Source organism: Homo sapiens, chromosome 12 (assembly GCF_000001405.40).
Source record: "Homo sapiens chromosome 12, GRCh38.p14 Primary Assembly".
NCBI classification, from domain to species: Eukaryota; Metazoa; Chordata; class Mammalia; order Primates; family Hominidae; genus Homo; species Homo sapiens.
The window spans coordinates 50,184,759-50,207,944 of NC_000012.12; the positions used below are offsets into that span (position 1 = coordinate 50,184,759).

Here is a 23,186-nt window from a genome sequence, read left to right on the forward strand (position 1 = left end):
AGGACAAATGTATTTATCAGATTAAAAATCATTTTCAGTTGCAGAAAGGGAATTCTGCGTTTTTTGTTTTTTTTGTTTTGTTTTGTTTTTTGAGACAGAGTCTCACTCTGTCACCCAGACTGGAGTACAGTGGCGCGATCTCAGCTCACTGCAAGCTCCACCTTCCGGGTTCAAGCGATTCTCCTGCCTCAGCCTCCTGAGTAGCTGGGATTACAGGCGTGCACCACCACACTCGGCTAATTTTTGTATTTTTAGTAGAGATGGGGTTTCACCATGTTGGTCAGGCTGGTTTCTAACTCCTAACCTTGTGATCTGCCCACCTTGGCCTCCCAAAGTGCTGGGATTACAGGTGTGAGCCACTGCGCCTGGCCCGGAATTCTGTATTTTTTAACACTTGAAATAGATGTAGGAGAGTAAGTGCTCATTCTGGTCAGTAAAGACACAGCAGGAGACAGAAACTTCACATGGGATAAGAGGAGATGGATACTGTTCTGCTAAAGGGGAACTGAAGGACGCAGAGCACTCCTCCATCACAAACACACGGAGGGGAGGCACACACTGTGGGAGGGGGAAGCAGCCCAGGGAACAGAAGGAAAGGAGAACCTGTGAGAAAGCTGAAAGTTGAGCTCACATTAGGAGGAAAGTGGAAGGCAGGAGCAGAAATTAGGTACCAGGAGCAGGAGGCAGAAGCTGGAAGAGACAAACAGGAACCTTCAATGAATACACAGCATTTGGCGTGCCCTGGAGAGCTTTACTGCAGCTGAGCTGAAACTCAGAGACTCAGATCCAAGAATAAGACCACATTTTTCTTTTTTTCCTTTTTAAGTAACTCTGCTAATCATGGCAAAATCAGCCTCACTCGTATCTACCTGAGGCTGGAACATATCCCAGCTCAGGAGAGCGAGCTTTTATGAGCCTTCACCCACACAAGGAGTGTCTCATTAACAATTCTTTAGTGGCTTACTACCTCCCACACCTGACCCACATCGGCTCTCTCTTTAATAGAGCCTTCACCCACATGGAGCAAAAAGTCTGTCTTCCTCCTTAACATCAAGTTAATAGATTGCTAGCTCACATAATTGACTAACCTTGAGCTTCTAACTAGCCAGACCTATCAGAGTCCCATTATTCCTATTCATTTCTCACATCAACCCTTTTCAATATTATTTAAGGTTTATGCAGCAGCAGCTGCCTAAGGGCCCCTTCTAGTTTCATAAAGACAAGAGGGTCCCGACATGGTAAAATGCCAACTCACAGCGGCTGCGGCTGTGCCTCCCCTTTATTTTCTATGTCCTGGGCTCTCAGCCACTTTTCTGTAATTGCCCCCATGTCTATTCAGACAACAGGAAGCATAGTCAGTGCCTAAAAATCTCTACCATTATCACAGGCCTGGCATACATCCTGCCCATGCCTTCATGGCATGCTCAGACTTGGCACAGCCATGTTTAAAACACTGCCAATACGACAATGTTAGACATTTTTTATCTTCACAGTATATTTTTTCAGTTAGTAAGAGATTTTTTTTTTCATTCCCCTTCTCCCACCATTTTGCCCCTACCAAGTAGAAAGTTAAACACCAGGTCTTATCAAAGTTCACATAGTCAATAACAGAAATAGAATTAAAACTGTAGGAAAACAGCCTGTTGCATGGCAGGAGTGATGCCATCTTGGAGTGAAACCACCATGCTAACTGGTGGTTTGACTCCTGCATACCAAGGTGGTTTGTTCTGCAGCAAAGTCTTTAAACAATGCCTGTAGCATAGATTATCCCTCATAAAGGGGTAGTGCCCAGAGCATAGACAACCCCTCATAAAGATGCTTATCCAATCGCTCCAGTGATAAGTTTTGCAAGAAAGTCAAGCGTGACTAGCTGCACATGTTTTATCCTAAAACCTTGCTATATAAAGGATATTTTCTGGAGGGCTGGTGCAGGGATCCACTGTCTCATGGCCTCCTAGACATCACTTCTGTTCATAAGCTCTTATTAAATGTTTCTTTCTGAGAAACTGGATTTGTCAGCCTCTTTCTTTGGCTTTTCAGCTCCCTCAGCCTTTGTGGGTAGGTCTGCATAGACCTGCTCACTGCACAAACTCAGAACTCCTGACTCACAAACCAAGAGAGCATTTTCTAAATTGTCCTGGAATGTTAAATTTCCACAGCCAAGGGAAACTCTTTGGGGAGGAGAGCAGATGCTAACCCAAATGAAATTAATCCCACGACAGCAATTTGAACAAACTATGGTCTTCCCTTTGTTTCAAATAAAAATGTGTAGATAATATCTTCAGGATATTCTAGAGTGAATGAGGTAATCTATAAATAATTGATGTTCATAAATACTGTCTTTCCCGTTTGAGGGATATTACAGACCCTCTGTTGATTACCATCTACTTAAAGCTGTTTTTCTAACAAATTTGCATGGCTTCATTTACATTCTTTTACCCTCTTGTCTCATATATTTTTTACTCTAATAAAGGCCCCAGTTGTGGTGTGTGTGGGAGGTAGGGGGGAGCAGCTGACAACAGACATTGATGTTAACTAGCCTTTAGACATAGTGAAAGAAGATGAAAATTCTGTATTGACGTCAAGCCTCTATTCCTCAGAATACCACAAAATGCCTTTCATTCCTTCCAATTTGTGTAAAATATCTAGGTAATGAAACTGAAATTCTTCACCACACAGCAAATGGTTGGGCCAGCCCTGTGCAGCCTTAACCCTTCCTCTAATTTTCTGTGAAACTCTATGAAAGCATTTTGGGGAATATTCATATCTTAAATAGAGTGCTCTACACAGAGAAGAAAGGACAGTCCTCTGAAAAGGCAGTAATAGTGAGTGAGTGAGAAAAGATTCTAGACACTCTTCTAGCATAATTTTGACAGCTTTGCAAGCCAGCATAAAACCTCCCACTGTGTCTTCAGGGGGAGGAACAGCTGGCAGGGTACCGAGAGGGGCAGTGCAGTGTGTGCTGCCCTCTCACGTAGAGTGCCATGTTCTCTCTCAACATTCATCAGCAAAACGCTGTGAGGAGGCCTGGGACTTGGTTGTCCCGTACACAGTGAGGGCAGACAGTTGTTCCCTAGGGCCAGTCACATCTCCTTGCCTCTTCCTTCCCTATCCTCTCCTCTGGGAACGTTTAGGGGATGATTTCTTTCAAATGGGAGGACATAAAGCCTAAGAGATCTCTGAGTCTCTTGAAGTAGAAAGGCCTGATACTTCTCACAGGGTCCACTAAGCTCTGCTCTCAGAACGACACCCTTTTTGAGAATGAACCTGTAACTTCATTGGTACCAAGTCTTACCAAGTAAGCTCTGTGGCCAGTGTTCAAAGTGTACAGAATCCTTAAAGACCTCTATCATTTCTTTTTACTTTATTAAGCTAAAATTTGAAATGAATTGAATCTCTACCTTAGATGTCCTCTTTTCAATAACAGACAGGCACTAAGAAACAGTTTTTTCCAGGATGTGTGGGATCCAAAAATCTATTCTGAGTGAACAAGTTTATTCTTAGCTGTATGTAATTTCCCAAAGTGGAGAAACAACTTCTGTTCATAGTCTGCAGCCATGAGACCAGTTCTGCCAGCAGGTCTTCCTATAAACATTTACTAAAGTATCTGTATATTTGCCTGCAGACTGTAAAGGGGAACTCTGAGGAAGAGCAAATAAATTGCCCTTAAATAACAGTGGAGATGTAACTGGGTTCCACCAGGCTCTGTACACCATGATCATCTGAGCTGTGGACCAGAGGCAAACAGCCAGGCCAGTTTACTCTGGTCATTACACAATGCTCAAAACCCGAGGTGTGTGACTATGCAGATAGGGCCGTCTACTACTATACTACTATTCTACTGCTGAGTGACCAGTGCCAAAGGAGTAGGCATGGGTCTGAGGCAGAGACAGAGACAGCTTTACCTCTGTTTCCTCTCCCTGGTGCCAAAGGAGACCTAAGTGAGGTGTGCCCTTTCACACACCACTCATCCGCTCACCCCGTGGAACTTGAGTGGGGAGGGATCCCCACCCAGTACAAGGAAGTCTGGCCAAGCAGTTGAACGAGGGATGCAAGACTGCATTGAGAATTCAAATAGTCACAAGAACAGATTTTAGTTCCTGTATTTCCCCAGGTCCTGGGTTACACAGAATCCATCACCAAGTTAGATTTGCTAGCCGTTCTTGATCCCCAACCACAACCTGAGCACTCACATCTAGGCAGCATTGCTGTCAGAGAGGAAAGTAACCCTGTGGGGTTTGCTACTTTGTGAGACTCCAGATACTGACAAAGAAAGTGCTGATGGCAGCATCAGCCAACCTTCAAGGCCAGAACACAGCCATGCGGAGCACATGTACAGATTCAATCACCATGACCCCGCCCATTCTTCCTGGACTTGCTTTCTCTTTCTGCTTTCTTTACCTTTTGTTCCTTTTCAATAAACCTTACTCTTCTCATAAATCTCTGCCTCCTTTAAAATTTTCATGTTTTATCTTTTTCACCTTGCTCACCTTTTAAATCCACTCTTTAAATCCTGGATTCTCCCCTTTCCTCCTTTTGTTCCAAACCCTCCCTGATGTCCCCTCCTCTTCATACTTTGTGTGCAGTAAAACTTTTATCTGTGGACCAATCATGCTCACAGTCAGAGGTATAAGCACGGCAGATATGAGCATGAGTTGGGAGCAGCACAAACCACCTTAAAACTCATTCTATTTATTGAGTTTCTCTCAAATGCTAAAACTTTTGAAACACAACCCTGCTACTTAAAAGAGCACTAGAGGAGAAAGACACTAAAGAAGTGTGGGTAATCCAAACGAGTGAAGTAGCCCCTCATTAGCAAGCTAGTCAATTAAAACAAGTCAGCTAACAAACCTAAAATAAGTTTTGCATTTTTAATAAACATTTTTTGGCTTATTTTTATGGGAATATATATTTGCCCATAGAAGAGGAAAAGACGACTTTTAAAACTTGGGTAATAAAAGCAGATTATAGATTGAGGAGCCTAGCTCTGTTGCCCAGGCTGGAGTACAGTGGCGCGATCTTGGCTCACTGCAACCTCCACCTCCCGGGTTCAAGCAATTCTCCTGCCTCAGCCTCCCAAGTAGCTGGGATTACAGGTGCCTGCCATCATGCTCAGCTAATTTTTGTATTCTTAGTAGAGACAGGCTTTCACCATGTTGGCCAGGCTGGTCTCAAACTCTTGACCTCGTGATCTGCCCGCCTTGGCCTCCCAAAGTGCTGGGATTATAGGTGTGAGCCACCATGCCTGGCCAATTTTTTTTTTTTTTTTTTTTTTTTGAGATGGAATCTCACTCTGTCACACAGGCTGGAGAGCAGTGGTGTGATCTTGGCTCACTGCAACCTCTGCTTCCCGGGTTCAAGTGATTCTCCTGCCTCAGCCTCCCAAGTAGCTGGGACTACAGGCACGCACTACTGCGCCCAGCTAATTTTTGTATTTTTAGAGACAGGGTTTCACCATGTTGGCCAGGCTGGTCTCGAACTCCTGACCTCGTGATCCGCCTGCCTCGGCCCCCCAAAGTGCTGGGATTATAGCTGTGAGTCACCGTGCCTGGCCTCAATTCTTAATATCTAATGTTATACCCTTAGTATAAGTGTTGCTTGAATGTCATTTTTTTTTTTTTTTTTGAGACAAGAGTTTCATGCTTGTTGCCCAGGCTGGAGTGCAATGGCATAATCTCGGTTCACCACAACCTCTGCCTCCCAGGTTCAAGCAATTCTCCTGCCTCGGCTTCCCAAGTAGCTGGGATTACAGGCATGTGCCACCATGCCCGGCTAATTTTTTTTTTTTTTTTTGTACTTTTAGTAGAGATGGGGTTTCTCCATGTTGTTCAGGCTGGTCTTGAACTCCCGACCTCAGGTGATCCGCCCGTCTCAGCCTCCCAAAGTGCTGGGATTACAGGCGTGAGCCACCACACCCGGCCTCATTTTTTTTTTTTTTTTTTTTTTTTTTTTTTTTTTTTCAGAAAATGGGCTGGCCAGCCCCCATTCCAGTGGACACATTCTTTCGTTAAAAATGTTAATGACATTGTTGTAAACAACAGGTCCTAAAAAAAAAAAAAAGTGGGAACAACAGGGCCAGGTGTGTTTGGTGGCTCATACCTGTAATCCCAGCATTTTGGGAGGCCAAGGTGGGGGGATTACTTGAAGCCAAAAGTTCAAAACCAGCTTGGGCAACATAGTGAGACCCCATCCCTATAAAAATGTAAAAAATATATTAGCTGGGTGTGGTGGCATGTGCTTATAGTCCCAGCTACTTGGGAGGATGGTTTGAGCTCAGGAGATAGAGGCTGCAGGGAGCTGTGACCACACCACTGCACTCCAGCCTGGGTGACAAAGTGAGAACCTGTCTCAAAAAAAAAAAAAAAAAAAAAAGCTAACCACAGGTTAAGATCAAGCTCTGCAGATTAGGAAGCCATTATCTTTAAGGTGAAATTGCACATCTCGTCCAATGTGCTGATTTTAGTTGAACAGATTTTTCCTGGCTGGGCACAGTGGCTCATGCCTATAATCCCATCCCAGCACTTTGGGAGGCCGAGGCAGGCAGATCACCCAAGGCCTGGAGATTGAGGCCAGCCTGGGAAACATGGCAAAATCACATCTCTTAAAAAAAAAAAAAAAAAAGCCAGGCATGGTGGCATGTGCGTATAGTTCTAGCTACTCAGGAGGCTGAGACAGGAGGATTGCATTAGCCTGGGAGGTCAAGGCTGCAGTGAGCCGTGATCACACCACCATACTCCAGCCTGAGCAACAGAGCAAGACCCTGTCTCAAAAAAACAAAACAGGCCAGGCGCAGTGGTTCACGCCTGTAATCCCAGCACTTTGGGAGGCCAAGGCAGGCGGATCACGAGGTCAGGAGATTGAGACCATCCCGGCTAACACGGTGAAACCCCGTCTCTACTAAAACTACAAAAAGTTAGCCGGGCGTAGTGGCAGGACACCTGTAGTCCCAGCTACTCGGGAGGCCGAGGTAGGAGAATGGCGTGAACCCGGGAGGCGGAGCTTGCAGTGAGCCAAGATAGCGCCACTGCACTCCAGCCTGGGCGACAGAGCGAGACTCTGTCTCAAAACAAAACAAAAACAAACAAACAAACAAACAAAAACAAGGCCAGGTGTGGTGGCTTACCCAGCACTTTGGGAGGCCAAGGCAGGCAGATCACAAGGTCAGGAGTTTGAGACCAGCCTGGCCAACATGGTGAAACCCTGTCTCTACCAAAAAATACAAAAAAATTAGCCAGGCATGGTGGCGCATGCCTGTAATCCCAGCCACTCAGGAGGCTGAGACAGGAGAATTGCTTGAACATGGGGGGGCGGAGGTTACAGTAAGCCGAGATCATGCCACTGCACTCCAGCCTGGGTGACAGAGCGAGATTCTGTCTCAAAAAAAAAAAAAAGATAATAATAATAAATAAACAAAAACAAAAATAAAAAAACCGACATTATTTTAAAACTTTCATGAGTTTTCCAGAGTTCAAACTGAGAGTCATTAGTGAGCCTTCTCGCTCCCGGGCCAAAGACCTGAGCAGAGGCAGCAAGATTTCCAGGGAAAGCGACTGGCTTCAGTGTGCTCTTCTGTGGCATTATCATCCACAGGAAAGCAAAACCAGGTTATAATCAACATCATCATCATAAAAGGTACAATTAGCTCTACCAGTAGACCAATGTCCAAAGGCTCAGAGAGAAATTGCCATCATACCTTCATTGCTTTGGGAGGAGAACTTTCAGAAAGACTGGAGGCTCTGGAATCTGGACTTAGTGGCTTGGGATGGACAGGCTGTTGAACCTCACTCTTAACCTGGGAGTCACCTGCTTGAGTTACAAAAGGAAGACATTTTACAGTATCTCATGGAATGTCTTGGAAAGTGTTCTTCCGAAAAGCAAAGTTTGGGCACTTTCATTAATGACAGATCCTTCCAACACCAGGAAAAACACTGCTTTTCTGTTGAAGAATATTCGAACACTAACAACTATGGCTCAGGTATTCTCTGGTCCTGTCAGAAATCAGGTTCTCAGTGAGGAGGCTTTCTTACCCTCTGCCACACGTAGCAGAAATCCAAACCACTCTGTATAAAGAACTTTCTTCCTTGTGCCATTTGTCATTTTTAAAGGCCGTTTATAGACTTAGATGTCTTTTTGGTCATTAACATTCCTAATAACTTTTTCTGAAGTGTTTCAACTGAAGTTGGAAAAAGGGGGAGATGTGAGGGCAGAAATTTTGTACTCTGTGTGTGTGTGTGTGTGTGTGTGTGCGCGCGTGCGCGCATTTGTGTATACATGTAACCTGACACTGTTTTTGGTCAGTTCTATAGCAGATACCAATGGATGAAGATTATGGAAAAGGGCTCCATGAAGTTTTTTTCATAATCATTGAAATTCCAACTACATGAGTTACTTTCCTGCCAAAATGAAGAGGTGAGTCAACAAAGTACTAAAATATTAAGGCTTATTTTTCAAAAAAATGTTTCATAAACCTAGTCAAAAACATTTCTCAGAAACATTTCTAGTCCCAGAAAAATGATTGCAAAAAAAGAATGTTTCTGGATTCAAGCAGAAGGAGTTTTTCTCCGAAATTTTAAGGTAGGATTAACTAGAGATCTGTTTAATTCATCATTCTATTTCAGTTGTAGGGTTTTCAGTGTCCAGTAAACTAGCCTGGGGAGATGCTAGAAATCCACATATATATGTTTTTCTTTTTTGTCTTGTGACCTACAAGAAATTTATATATATATAGTATATATATATCATATATGTGTATATATGATATATATACACATATATGATATATATATACATATATATCATATATGTATATATGATATATATATACATGTATATATGATATATATATACATGTATATATATATACATATATATACGTGTGTGTGTGTGTGTGTGTATATATATATATATATTTTTTTTTTTTTTTTTTTTCAGAGTCTCACTCTGTCACCCAGGCTGGAGTGCAGTGGCATGATCTCGGCTCACTGCAACCTCTGCCTCCTGGGCTCAAGTGATCCTCCTGCCTCAGCCTCCCAAGTAGCTGGGACCACAGATGCATGCCACCATGCCCAGCTAAGTTTTGGTACTTTTGGTAGAGACAGGGTTTCACCATGTTGCCCAGGCTGGTCTCCAACTCCTGAGCTCAAGCAAACTGCCTGCCTCAACCTCACGAAGTGCTGGGATTACAGGCATGAGCCATAGCGCCCAGCAAACATATATATACATATATATATATATATATATTTTTTTTGAGATGGATTTTCACTCTGCTGCCCAGGCTGGAGTGCAGTGGCATGATCTCAGCTCACTGCAGCCTCCACCTCCTGGGTTCAAGCAATTCTCCTGTCTCAGCCTCCTGAGTAGCTGGGACTACAGGCACCCACCACCACATCCGGCTAACTTTTTGTGTTTTTAATAGAGATGGGGTTTCACCATGTTGACCAGGCTGGTCTTGAACTCCTGACCTCAGGTGATCCACCCGCCTTGGCCTCCCAAAGTGCTGGGATTACAGGCGTGAGCCACCGTGCCTGGCCAGCAACATATATATATATTTTGTTTTGAGTCGGAGTCTCGCTCTGTAGCCCAGGCTGGAGTGCGATGGTGCGATCTCAGCTCACTGCAACCTCCACCTCCTGGGTTCAAGCAATTCTCCTGCCTCAGTGTCCTGAGTAGCTGGGATTACAGGCGCCCACCACCACGCCTGGCTAATTTTTGTATTTTTAGTAGAGCTTGGGGTTTCACCATATTGGCCAGGCTGGTCTTGAATTCCTGACCTCAAGTGATCCACCCACTTAGGCCTCCCAAAGTGCTGGGATTACAGGTGTGAGCCACTGCGCCTGGCCCAGCAACATATATTTTTAAATGGGCTGGGCACAGTGGCTCACGCCCGTAATCTCAACACTTTGAGAGGCTGCGGTGGTAGGACTGCTTGAGACCAGGAGTTGGAGACCAACCTGGGCAACAAAGTGAGACCTTTTCTCTACAAAAATATTAAAAAATTAGCTGGGTACGGCCAGGCACGGTGGCTCACGCCTGTAATCCTAGCACTTTGTGAGGCCGAGGCGGGTGGATTGCCTGAGCTCAGGAGTTCAAGACCAGCCTGGGCTACATGGTGAAACCCTGTCTCTACTAAAATACAAAAAATTAGCCAGGCATGGTGGTGTGCGCCTGTAATCCCAGCTACTCAGGAAGCTGAGACAGGAGAATCGCTTGAACCTGGGAGGGGGAGGTTACAGTGAGCCGAGATTGCACCACTGCACTCCAACCTGGGTGACAGAGTGAGACTCCCTCAAAGAAAATTAGCTGGGTATGGTGGTGTGTGCCTGTAGTCCTAGCTATTTGGGAGGCTGAGGTGGGAGGACTGCTTGAGCCCAGGAGTTTGAGGCTGCAGTGAGCTATGATCACACCACTGCACTCCAGCCTAGGCAACAGAAAGAGACCCTGTCTCTAAAAAATGAAAATTAAAAGTTATACTGAAAATCAGAATAAAAAGTGGACATAGTCAAGTAAAAAACAAAAAAAAACATTTTTGTCTTTGGGAAAAGGGAGGCTCAAAATGACTCCAAAATAGGATGACAGGTGACAAAATTCACTGTCAGCAGGAAAATCCCTAGAACCTGGCTAGGAGGTTGACTATAATATACATTTAGATAAACAGGGAAAAAATATGTATCTTTAACAGATTATTCAAATACTTATTCACTAAAGAATAGGTATTTATGAATAACATTATAAATGAATAAAATCCGTATTGGCCAAACTTCTGTTAAAATGAAACTTCAAAATTAGTTTATACAGCTTCAATTCTGAAAGGGTTTGGTGCAAAAAGTAGGATGAATTCAATGAGAAAAGCATTACAAGTATTCAGTTTGTCCCAAGTTAACTATATTCAATTGAATTTAACTTCTCCTTAAGCCATGAAGTGTGTAAAGGACATTCAAGCATTAGCCCTTAAATTCAAGTAGAGGATTTACTATGTTATTTTCTCAGCACTGACAGTAATGGGAACACCCCTGAACCAAATACAGATAGAAAACAAGAACCTCATCCTCCAGATCTAAGAAAGAATGCTTACGGGAGTCATCTTCGGCAGGGGTGGAACGGACTGCCAGGCTATTCTCATTTGCAGAAATCTACAAAAAAAAAAAAAAAAAAAAAGTTAGAGGGGGATTAAGAGTCATATTAAAAATAAAAGAGCAAACTGCTGTTAATGCCATAAAAACCTGCTGACTCCAGTCAGTCACTGGCTGCCTAGGGGAAATAACGGGCACCAGAACAGCTGAGCATTTGAACAAGAGGCAGCAAAATGTCTTTTATGAGGATATTAACATGCCTCTCAATTACAGAGTAACCCGAGAAACAGACTGCACTCAACTGCCAAAAGTGTGCATCATCTCCCTTTATAAAACAACTTCTAAACCATATTTTTCTGCTCTCAAAAAACAAAGCAAAACAAAGCCCTCTATCAAGGAGAGCAAAGCTCCTCACCGTATAACCATAACCCACTCCAAGGAAAGATAAAGTATTTAAATATAGGAACCATTCTTATTTTTTAATTTTCCTAATTCTTATTTCCCAACCAACTACATCCTGCTGAAACGAGCTTGCCTATATAGAAGACCTTTTGACAGTTATAAAACAAATTTACCTAAAACTAACCTCAGTATTATCTTTGAGGACAGTTTCCCTTCTAATCCCAGTCTCAAAATGGCAATGTTTAAAAAGATGGCAGATCTTACGTATAGGTGTATATATCATTTTCTCAAAAGCCATCAAATTTAAATAAAAGAACTCTCTATTAGAGCTCTCCCTCCTTTCTACTGGCCCCCATGCCTTCCTGGTATCTTACTCCACATCCAAAATCATGAAGAGTCAACAGGTGACCCAATGTGCACTCTTCACATAATTTCCTTTTATTCAGATGCCACGGATTTTATGGGCAATGCTGAGTGTTTATATCAGGATGTCTGACAAACTGAATAGATTTACAATGAAGATTAAGCTGCTGGCTGACTGCACCTGAATTTCAGCGTGGTTATTTTTTCCACTACTCTCTTCATTACAGGAATTCTGACATGGCATAAAATAAACCGGTACAATCACAGCCAGCATTTACTGGGTGTTTACTATGTGCCAGGTATTCAACTAATCGCCTTACAAATGCACTATTTTATCTAATGATATGAAATAAATTTTCTGAAAGTTGTGCATGCCTACAAAAAGCTCTTCAGTTCTTGAGAATTAGTAGGTACCTCCATCCCAGGATGTTCTTCTCTCACCTTTAATTTGGTCACCTTGAACCTGTGAGGTAATCTTTGCTTTTTTTTTTTTTTTTTGAATGGAGTCTTGCTCTGTTGCAAGGCTGGAATCCAATGGTGCGATCTCAGCTCACTGCAACCTCTGCCTCCTGGGTTTAAGTGATTCTCCTGCCTCAGCCTCCCGAGTAGCTGGGATTACAGGTGCCCATTATCACACCCGGCTAATTTTTGTATTTTTAGTAGAGCAGGGTTTCACCATGTTGGCCAGGATGGTCTCAGACTCCTGACCTCAGGTAATCTGCCCACCTTGGCCTCCCAAAGTGCTAGGATTACAGGCGTGAGCCACCTCGCCAGGCACATGTCCTTTTTTTTTTTTTAACAAGCTGAAGTTCAAATAACACTTAGGTATTGGTTAACAAAAGCTAGGCAAACAGCCAAAAGGATAGCTAAGGGTCTGAAAAACATTGCGAATTTTAAGGCAGCTGAGGGTTTGTAAACCTGCAGCATGTGCTTGAAGAATATGTATTGTCTTTATCTCCTTTCTTCCCCACCCACTTCATGATTCACAGTCGCACTAATGTCCTTTTAGGCTATAATTAAAATGTTCTAATCTTCCAGTTCAGTTCAGAGTTCCAGTTTCAAATCAGCATGAAGACAATGACGAAGGAAACATGAATTTAGATACAGGGACAATTCAAGCATTATTTCCCAAATGACTGTTTCCCAAACTATGCTCCTGGGATAAAGATGGGGATATTTCAATGCTGGGAATATTTTTCTCTTAAAATTTCTTTCTTTCTTTTTTTTTTTTAACAGTATATAAGAAAAACTTCAAAAATATTTAGTCAGTTATTCTTAAGAAATAATCTCCCATTTAAAAGATGAGAAAACAAGACAGTTTAACAAGATAACTCACTTAATACATGGCATGTGCCTCATGGGCTAATGCCTGAGTCCACTGCTGCAAGGATGTTTGCAATTTATGGGGGATTATATGACCATGTAACACATGACTGCCAAGTATTTTGTCTTGTTATTCCAACATACATTTGTGATGTTTTTATAAAATAAACTATTCTAATATTTTTTTCTGTTCTGGTCTTTGAATCAAATTTTGTAGCCATCAGTTTGAGACCATTTTTCTGTGGGTCTGCTTTGATCCAAGAGTAGTATATCTCATGAGTTCCTGTTAGTATTCTGACAATATACCATCCTACTTTGTAAAGTCTGTTGTAGTCAAATAAGTTTGAGACAGGGTGCAGTGGTTCACACCTGTACTTCCAGTACTTTGGGAGGCTGAGGCTGAGGGGATTGCTTGAAGCCAGAAGTTTGAGACCATTCTGAGAATTATAGCGAGACCCTGTCTATACAAAAAATAAAGATAAAAATAAATTAGCCAGATGTGGTGGTGCACACCTGTAGTCCCAGCCACTTGGGAGGCTGAGGCAGGAAGATCACTTGAGCCCAAGAGTTGGAGGCTACAGTGAGCTATGATCACACTACTACACTCCAGCCTGGGTGACAGAGCAAGACCTCATCTCTAAAAAAATTTAAAAAATACAAATTCCAACTAAGCTTGAGAACTGTTGCTCTTAATCCATTTAATGATCTCCATGTCTTTTGGAAGAATGGCGTCAAGGGTGTCAATAAGTGTAACAGAAGCAATGGCTTTTCTCCTAAGATTAAATCACTGTAATAGATTTGAAAACCCTTTCTCCTCATCTCATTTAACATTCGATTATCATATTGACTGAAAGACTAAAAGAATTGGACAATGGGCAATGGTAGAGAACATGATAATTCCCCTGACATAAATAATGTTACTTATTTCAATTAAGCCATTCATCTAATGATTAATACATAACACACAAATATGATTTGCTTAAAATCTTTCAGTGGCTTTCTCCTGCTGCACCACTACATCCAAACCCTTAAGGGTGACATAAAGATTTACCCTAGCCCTCTCCTTCCACCTGTCTCTCACTGCTGCCTATGTGTACCTCATGCTCCAGCCAAGTCAGCAAACCTGTAATTCTGGCCAAGCACGGTGGCTTACAGCTGTAATCCCTCACTTTGGGAGGCCAAGGCGGGTGGATCACGTGAGGTCAGGAGTTCAAGACCAGCCTGGCCAACATGGTGAAACCCCATCTCTACTAAAAATACAAACAATTAGCCAGGCATGGTGGCACGTACCCGGAATCACAGTTACTTGGGAGGCTGCGGCAGGAGAATTGCTTGAACCTGGGAGATGGAGGTTGTAGTGAGCTGAGATCACGCCACTGCACTCCAGCCTGGGTGACAGAGCGAGACTCCATCTCCAAACAAACAAACAATCCCTGTAATTCCTCAGCCATCATCTCTGGTTTCCAAATCTCTGTTGTATCTGCCTGGAATAGCCTTCTATTTCTAACTCAACCTTCCCCTCATTCACTTGGCCTACTTCCACACGTTCTTCAAGACTCAGCTCAGACATCACCTTCTTGAGGAAGTCAGGTTAAATATCTTTGCTCTGGGCTTCTGTGGTCCTGTATACCCCTCTCACAGCCTCACAGCACCTATCATACATTTTTATGATAGCTGACCTCTTATTAATCTCTCCTCTACTCTGTTTTCTTGCACATAAAGACCACATGGAATGGTTTGTCAATAAGTTTTTAAGCTTATTATTTCCTATGCTTACTTAGCATAGTGACTGCCTTTCAAAATAATATGAGTGGAAGAGTAAGATTTTCTTGCACAAAATGTGTTAAATGTATACTTAAATTAAGAATATATGAGTATCTGAAGATAATCTCTAATCAAATATATTTTTATTTTATTTTTGTAAATTATTCTTCCCAGGAGCATGGAATCAAGTTGCCCTGAATCTATGCTCTCCCAAATAGATTTTTTTTTTTTGAGATGGAGTTTCGCTCTTGTTGCTTAGGCTGGAGTGCAGTGGTGTGACCTCAGCCCACTGCAACATCCGCCTCCTGGGTTCAAGCGATTCAACTGTCTCAGCCTCCTGAGTATCTGGGATTACAGGCATGCACCACCATGCCCGGCTAATTTTTTGTATTTTTATTAGAGACGGGGTTTCTCCATGTTGGTCAGGCTTGTCTCGAACTCTCGACCTCAGATGATCTGCCTGCCTTGGCCTCCCAAAGTGCTGGGATTACAGGCGTGAGCCACCACACTCGGCCCGAATAGATTTTTATTTTATTTATTTATTTTTGAGACAGAGTCTTGCTCTGTCGCCCAGGCTGGAGTGCAGTGCACTCAGCTCACTGCAACCTCCACCTCCTGGGATCAAGCGATTCTCCTGCCACAGCCTCCCGAGCAGCTGGGATTACAGGCATGCACCCCCACACCCGGCTTTTTATATTTTTAGTAGAGATGGGGTTTCACCCTGTGGGCTAGGCTGGTCTCGAACTCCTGACCTCAGGTGATCCACCTGCCTCACCCTCCCAAAGTGCTGGGATTACAGGCGTGAGCCACTGTGCCCAGCCTCCAAATAGATTTTAAAAAATCACTTCAGCTCTTTGCCTTCTGAGCATCTGCTGAGCAAAATAATTTTCCAATGAAGGCTCATTATTTGGTCAGCTATAAGTTGCAGAGCTACTCAACTGAAATTATGTGACCTGCAAAAATGGCAATCTGTCCTGGCAGCTGTTACCAAATTCCCAGACACTCTACAGCCTAGAGTTAGAGTTGTTTCTAATTTCAAGCATCTAATTTAGAACACATGCTTCCTTGGCAACTGGACATCAGACTTTTCAACCTACCTTTTCCCCTTCCTGATGGGTGATGCAGACCTCAGGACCTGGGGGCACATTCTCCTTTTGCTCCATTTTATGAATTTTGATTTCGCCACCACTGGCTTTCAGCTCATTCTACAAAATAAAAATAACTGTAAAAATTTTTTTAAAGTCCCATCATTCTGTTCTCTTCATAGCACATCTATTAGATAAACTTGGAATGTTAAAAAATTCTTCTAAGAAGCCTCGGGTCAAATCAACCCCCTAACTCTCACAAGCAAAACCCACTGACTAGTGAAATGACAAAAGCAGCTTTGTGGACACATACCTCAGAGTTAAATATCTGTATGCTAGTGTAAAACTGGATTGCTCATTAGAATACAGACACATCAACACAGGCACACAGAACACCCCAAGCATACAACATTCTTGTGATTCACTCTTCTAGCAGCAGAGCTTGTGGTAATGCAAAGCTTGTGAGTTTTATCAGAAAAGACCATTCTGGAGCAGGGGAAAGGAGATGCCAAGTGCCAATAATAGAAAATATACTGACCATACATATATAAATGCCCGGCCTGGAAAGAGAGACAGGGATGATGTATACATATAAAAACTGAAATTATATTTAATGATACCATAAAGAAACCTTTTTGGTGGGACTTTCAAAAAGCATGTTTTTCCATATACAATTCATATATTGTACTAAAGACATAATTTATTTTACTTCTCAAAACAGAGCCTCAACATAAAAGAACATGCATTTTATTGTCATAAGGAATAAGGATAATTGCATTTTTTTCCTTGCAAAGGACACTGGGGTGAATATTACAATTAACTCATCTATTACATCTAAAATCAACATAGAACCTGGGTGCAGTGGCTCACGCCTGTAATCCCAGCACTTTGGGAAGCTGAGGCGGGTGGATCGCCTGAGGTCAGGAGTTCAAGACCAGCCTGGCGAACATGGTGAAATCCTGTCTCTACTAAAAATACAAAAAATTAGCCACGTGTGGTGGTGCACACTTGTAATCCCAGTTACTTGGGAGGCTGAGGCAGGAGAATCGCTTGAATCAGGGAGGCAGAGGTTGCAGTGAGCCGAGATCACGCCACTGCACTCCAGCCTGGGGAACAAGAGTGAAACTCCATCTCAAAATAAAAAAATAAAATAAAATAAAATAAACATAGAGGTCGATGACTATAGACATTTCCCACCATTAGTCTGCTAATAATGTAGTAATCTAGTACTTTTCTGTTCTCTGTGAATCTTTAGGCATGGGAGGAAACAATTTATGGCCACCAGGTCAATGAAAGGAATGTGAGTATGACTTAGTCACCTAGTGATGGTATTCTAGATTACGACCCACAGCACCGGAGGTGCATCTGTGAGGAGGAGCTGGCAGCTAGCACTGCAGAACATTATATAGCCCAACAACTCATTCCTGACCCCATCTCAAAGCCCCACCTCCAGAACTGCTGCCAGAGAGTATGTATGTGCCTTGTTACAACCATATTCTGTAAGGGGCCTGGGAAATTCTTTGGGGATGAGACAAAATGTACTTTTTACAAGAATTCCCAAAGAGTTTTCAACTCTTAAAATCTCCAGAGCAGGAGAACTGTAATGCAGAAATGGTTAGGAGTTAAAAAAAAAAAGTTACTCAACAGGTTTCCCCACATAGGGAGTCACCTGGTGGGAATGTTTACAGCAGGAGGGCACTGAGAAGCAGTAAAATCTGGTAACAAGAGGAAGTTCAGCTTCGCAGATCCCAATTTGCTGTATCTCCTGACCTGCCTTCTAAGGGAAGTCTAAATTTGCTCGCTTTTCACATTCACGGTGCATAATCAGCCTGTGATACTCCACTTTGCTAATTGATTTACACACATCATCTCTTCTTAAAACATAAAGTTGTTAAAATTACAGTTAAAAAACCAAGATGAAATTATTCATTGCCCAGAGAATTAGTCCACCAAATATTATTAGAGAATGTATACTTAATAATGTGGGGAAGAGAAGGCTTAACTCCCAGAATACTCATTATGGTTTCCAATATGCACCAATTTCGATCTGCCTAAGAACAAATAAAATTCAATATTGTTCTTTTTGATTTTGTTAGACAATTAGGACATCAAGAGATTAATGGTTTGTAATTTGAAATCTTAGAACAAATGCTTGAAGGATACAAAAATATGTGTGTGTACATTTGTATCTATGTGTGTGTATACATATATATGTGAATAAATGGCATTTGAAAGGTAACTTCCTTTTTTTTTTTTTTTTTTTGAGATGGAGTCTCACCCTGTCACCCAGGCTGGAGTACAGTGGTGTGATCTCAGCTCACTGTAACCTCCATCTCCTAGGTTCAAGTGATTCTCCTGCCTCAGCCTCCCTAGTAGCTGGGATTACAGGTGTGTGCCACTACACCTGGCTAATTTTTTTTTTGTATTTTTAGTAGAGACGGGATTTCACCATGTTGGCCAGGCTGGTTCTGAACTCCTGACTTCAAATGACCCACCCACCTCAGGCTCCCAAAGTGTTGGGATTACGGTGTGAGCTCCTGCGCCTGGCTATAAGGTAACTTCAATTTAGCAGTTCTGTAGCATCAGCTTACCCGTTAAGCACAGGACAACGTAAAGGGGAAGGACCCTCCATTGTATTTTGAATACCAATCTTTTTTTTTTTTCCTGGAGACGGAGTCTTGCTGTGTCGCCCAGGCTGGAGTGTAGTGGCGCAATCTTGCCTCACTGCAACCTCTGCCTCCTGGGTTCCAGCGATTCTCCTGCCTCAGCCTCCCAAGTAGCTGGGATTACAGGTGCCTGCCACCATGCTGGCTAATTTTTGTATTTTTAGTAGAGATGGGGTTTCACCACGTTAGCCAAGCTGGTCTTGAACTCCTGACCTCAGGCAATCTGCCCACCTCGGCCTCCCAAAGTGCTGGGATTACAGGTGTGAGCCATCACACCCAGCTGAATATCAAAATTTTCATGCTTACTGAGCACGTCACCTTCTTGTGATCTCTCCCTTTTCCTTATCTACTATTCTACTTCTTTAGGAAAACAGTACATCGTAAGGATTAAAGATTAAGTAGAAGATCTACTGTATGACTCCTTCATATGAAATTTCCAAAATAGGCAGATACATAAAGACAGGAAGTAGCTAAGTGGTTGCCAGGGGATGAGAGCAGGGGAAGTTGGGAGTGACTACACAGGTATGAAGTTTCTTTTCAGGGTGATGGAAAGGTTCTGGAATTAAACAGTGGTAATGGTTGTACAACCTTGTGAATATGCTAAGTATCACAAGATTGTATACTTTAAAATGGTGATTTTATATTATGTGAGTTATATCTCAGTAAAAAATCACAAAAAAAACCCTCGTTAATGAACACAGCTGATATTTCTCTCCAGTCTTCTTCTTTCTTCCCTCAAAAGCCAAAATAAGCTCTTCAGTCTTCTTCCTTCTTCCCTCAACAACCAAGATAAAATAAGAGTTATATTAAAACTAATAAAATACTACTTCTTTAACAACACAAAGATTAAGTAGAAGAGCCAGGGAAACTCTCAATGATACTCACTGGTAACATCACAAAAAAAGTGAGTGGGGTGGGAACCAGGACTAAGAAAGCAAAGTCAGGATTAGACCATGGTAAGAACTGCAAATCCAGCGAGGGTAGGGTTCATGTGAAAAGAGAACAGCTAGGGGACCAGGGCTCAGATACAAGGGTCTGGTGACATTTCCTAATTCCAGTACTCAGTGACCATCTGCTGGATGATGGAATGAATGAATGAATGAATGATGCAGAACACATACTGTATAGTTGGTTGAGCTGCTTTGTTTGGACACAGCTGCCTGGTACTTGGCCATTCGATCCTTTATAGAGGTTTCTGAGAGGCGTGGAAGTTCCAGATTTCGTCTACTCTCATTTTTCTCCGAGTCAAATGTAGAAGATGACAACTGACCTGGAAGCATCCAAATAACATGTTTTATTTTATTTCTGAGATGGGGTCTCACTCTATCACCCAGGCTGAAGTGCAGTGGCACGATCATAGCTCACTACAGCCTCGAACTCCTGAGCTCAAGATATCCTCCCGCCTCAGCCTCCCAAAGCGCTGGAATTATAGGTGTAAACCACCGTGACTGGCCAACATGTTTTATTAGAAGATAAAAGTGATTCAAATAATTTCAAAATTCTAAATTTTGGGTTATTTTTATCTAATGGCCAATATCTTCTGTTAAAAGCACGAAGAAGAAAATCAGGAATATAATTGTCATTTATAAAGTAATATTCACTCACTTTCTTAGCATTAAAAGAACCTTACCATAATTGAGGATTGCATATTTTATTTTTTGAGACAGGGTCTCACTCTGTCACCCAGGCTAGAGTATGGGGCAGTGGTACAATCATAGCTCACTGCAGCTTTGAAGTCTTGGGCTCAAATGATCCAACCACCTCAGTTTCCCAAGTAGCAGTGACTTCAAGGATGCACCACCACGCTGGGCTTTTTTTTTTTTTTTCTGTAGAGATAGGTCTATGTTGCCCAGGCTGGTCTCAAACTCCTGGATTTAAGTGGTCCTCCTGTCTCAGCCTCCCTAAGTGCTGAGATTATAGGTCTGAGCCACCATGCCTGGGCTCGTATTTTAAAATTCTGGCTAATTTAACATGAAAAAGAAGAGATCTCAATGCTTTTTAATTTACATTTCTTTGATGACTAGGTAGCTGATGTTTTCCTGTTTTTACTAATTTTTTCTTTTGTGAAGTGCCTGTATATGTCCCCTTTAAAACATAATTCCACTCTCAAAGTGTTATGTTATCACTGGTAATACAGGGTAACCAAACCTGATAGGGGACACAGCCCATCTACTGAAGCCCTCAAACCCCAGATGACTGGAGGCAAAACTGATCGTAGCACTTTACTTATAGCTCCTCAAAGTACCCTTTGCTTACCATAGGTTACCACTAACAAGGGTGGATTAAAAATATGAAAAAAGCAGCCGGGCATGACGGCTCATGCCTGTAATCCCAGCACTTTGGGAGCACGTCAACTTCCGTCTCAAAAAAAAAAAAAAAAAAAAAGCTATTTATCGAGAGCAATGAGATTTGAGAATGGCTTGCATCTAATAGGCAGACTTCCTTTTAATTTGTGCCACTCTTCCTTTAAAAGCATTGGCTTCGAGTCCAAAAGATGTTACTACTAGTGAGTACTTCCTAAAGGACCTCATACACATGGAACTCTCTGCTTACCTGGGCCTATTTCCAGGTCATCTAGAGAATAGCTGTTTTCAGAGATCTTCCTTCCACTTGCACTTCGGCTTTGGGCCCGGAGAATCTGGAAAACGAAACCCAACGATAAGTTTTGCAGAAACAATGGGAAATCTTGACGCAAGGTTCAACTTGCAAACCTTCTTTATAAATAAAATCCAGATTTGATTTTATATTTTATATTCTATAGAATTTTTTTTAAATTACAAATATCAAGCACTACACATTCACAGGTGCCCAGGGAAAAATAAGTAACCCTATATAGGTAATATTCTCTGCTAAAGATGGCTTCCTAACCAGCAAGCTTTGTAACACTTATTGGAGGGGAATCCTCACATACCAGATGACAATGACATGTCCTTCTAAACTGCCAAGTGCTGATGCAGAATCTGCTGTTTCCTTTCTCCGTCTCATGTTATTTCTGCTATTGCTGCCTTAGTTCATGTCTTCATCATCTTTCCCCTGGACTACTGCATTATACCTCTTTAACTGGTTCTTCATTATCTTCCAATCCAGTCTCTATGATGCTACCATTATCCCCAATAATACAAAGTAATTATCCAAAAATATAAATCTATTTTACCCTCCTTTTCAAAATTCTTTCAGCATTCCTACTCATTCCTGAAATTAAACTCGAAGTGCTTAGTAAGTCACAGAAGTCCTGTTCTAGATCTGGTCCCTACCGAGCCAGCCTCCTTTGTCCTTCTGTTGCCTTACAAATGCCTGTTCCTTCAAAGACTCAGTGTAAGCACTATGAAGTCTGAGTACCTTGCCAACATAAATTTAGGTAATCTTTCCTCTGTTCTCAAGGTACCTGGTCAAACTGTTGGGTGACTGTCCCTCTACTGCACTGTAAGCTCACTAAGGGCAGAGACCATGCCTTTTTGTCCATATATTTCCAGGACTTACAGAAAAGTGGATGACACAGATTTTTTTTTTTTGAGACAGAGTCTCACTCCGTCACCCAGGCTGGAGTATAGTGATGTGATCTTGGCTCACTGCAGCCTCCGCCTCCCAGGTTCAAGTGATTCTCCTGCCTCAGCCTCCTGAGTAGCTGGGATTACAGGCGCCTGCCACCATGCTCAGCTAATTTTTATATTTTTAGTAGAGACAGGGTTTCACCATGTTGGCCAGGCTGGTCTCGAACTCCTGACCTCAGGTGATCCGCCCACCTCGGCCTCCCAAAGTGCTGTGATTACAAGCTTGAGCCACTGCGCCTGGCCAACAAAGATTTTTTTTAATGAAGTGTTTTGTGATTCCATTAAATTACTACATTTATCTCTGTCATATCTAAGGTAGATCTTTAATGAAAGTTACAAATTATAATTTTTAAGACTGTAGTGTCAAAGAATATTCCCAGACATAGTACACAGGGAGTATGTCATGTTTATTCAGCTTATAATGAGATCCTTACATCAGATCCTATCATTCAAATCTCAGTTTATTTCCAGACAACTTGAGGTTAAAAAAGATATCTGAAATCCAGTATGACAGGAGATAAGAATAAAACACTTAGCACCCTTTTGAATTTAACATTAGTAAATAGTTACTAAATCTTTAAGTTCAATGGACTAATCAACTTTACTGTAAAGTTTGAGGAAGTGAGACTGGGCATGGTGGCTCACACCTGTAAAACCACCATTTTGGGAGGCCAAGGCGGGCAGATTGCTGGAGCTCAGGAATTTGAGACCAGACTGGGCAACATGGTGAGACCCTGTCTCTACTAAAAATACAAAAAATTAGCCAGGTGTGGTGACATGCACCTGCGGTCCCAGCTACTTGGGAGGCTGAGGTGGGAGGATTGCTTGAACCAGGGGGGCAGAGGTTGCAGGGAGCAGAGATCGCTCCACTGCACTCCAGCCTGAGAAACAGAGTGAGACCCTGTCTCAAAAAAAAAAAAAAAGAAAAGAAAGTGAACTATCACTTTTACATATTTTTTATAC

General features: G+C 42.3%; 1 protein-coding gene across 13 annotated transcripts in view; it reads right to left on the reverse strand.

Annotated features, from left to right (window-relative positions):
• Positions 1–23,186, reverse strand: part of LIMA1 (LIM domain and actin binding 1) — a 107,733-nt gene that overhangs the window by 8,971 nt on the left and 75,576 nt on the right. For 6 of the 13 annotated variants that reach the window (NM_001394893.1, NM_001394890.1, NM_016357.5 and 3 more), the window contains 5 exons: positions 21,226–21,310; positions 19,794–19,942; positions 16,019–16,126; positions 11,072–11,129; positions 7,694–7,803 (listed from right to left, as the gene is read on the reverse strand). In NM_001394893.1, coding sequence (NP_001381822.1) covers positions 7,694–7,803; positions 11,072–11,129; positions 16,019–16,126; positions 19,794–19,942; positions 21,226–21,310 — 510 coding nt within the window. Of the gene's footprint in view, positions 1–631; positions 691–7,693; positions 7,807–11,071; positions 11,130–16,018; positions 17,416–19,793; positions 19,943–21,225; positions 21,311–23,186 lie in introns of those variants that run through there. The other 7 variants (NM_001394889.1, NM_001113546.2, NM_001394886.1 and 4 more) reach the window with 4 other exon arrangements.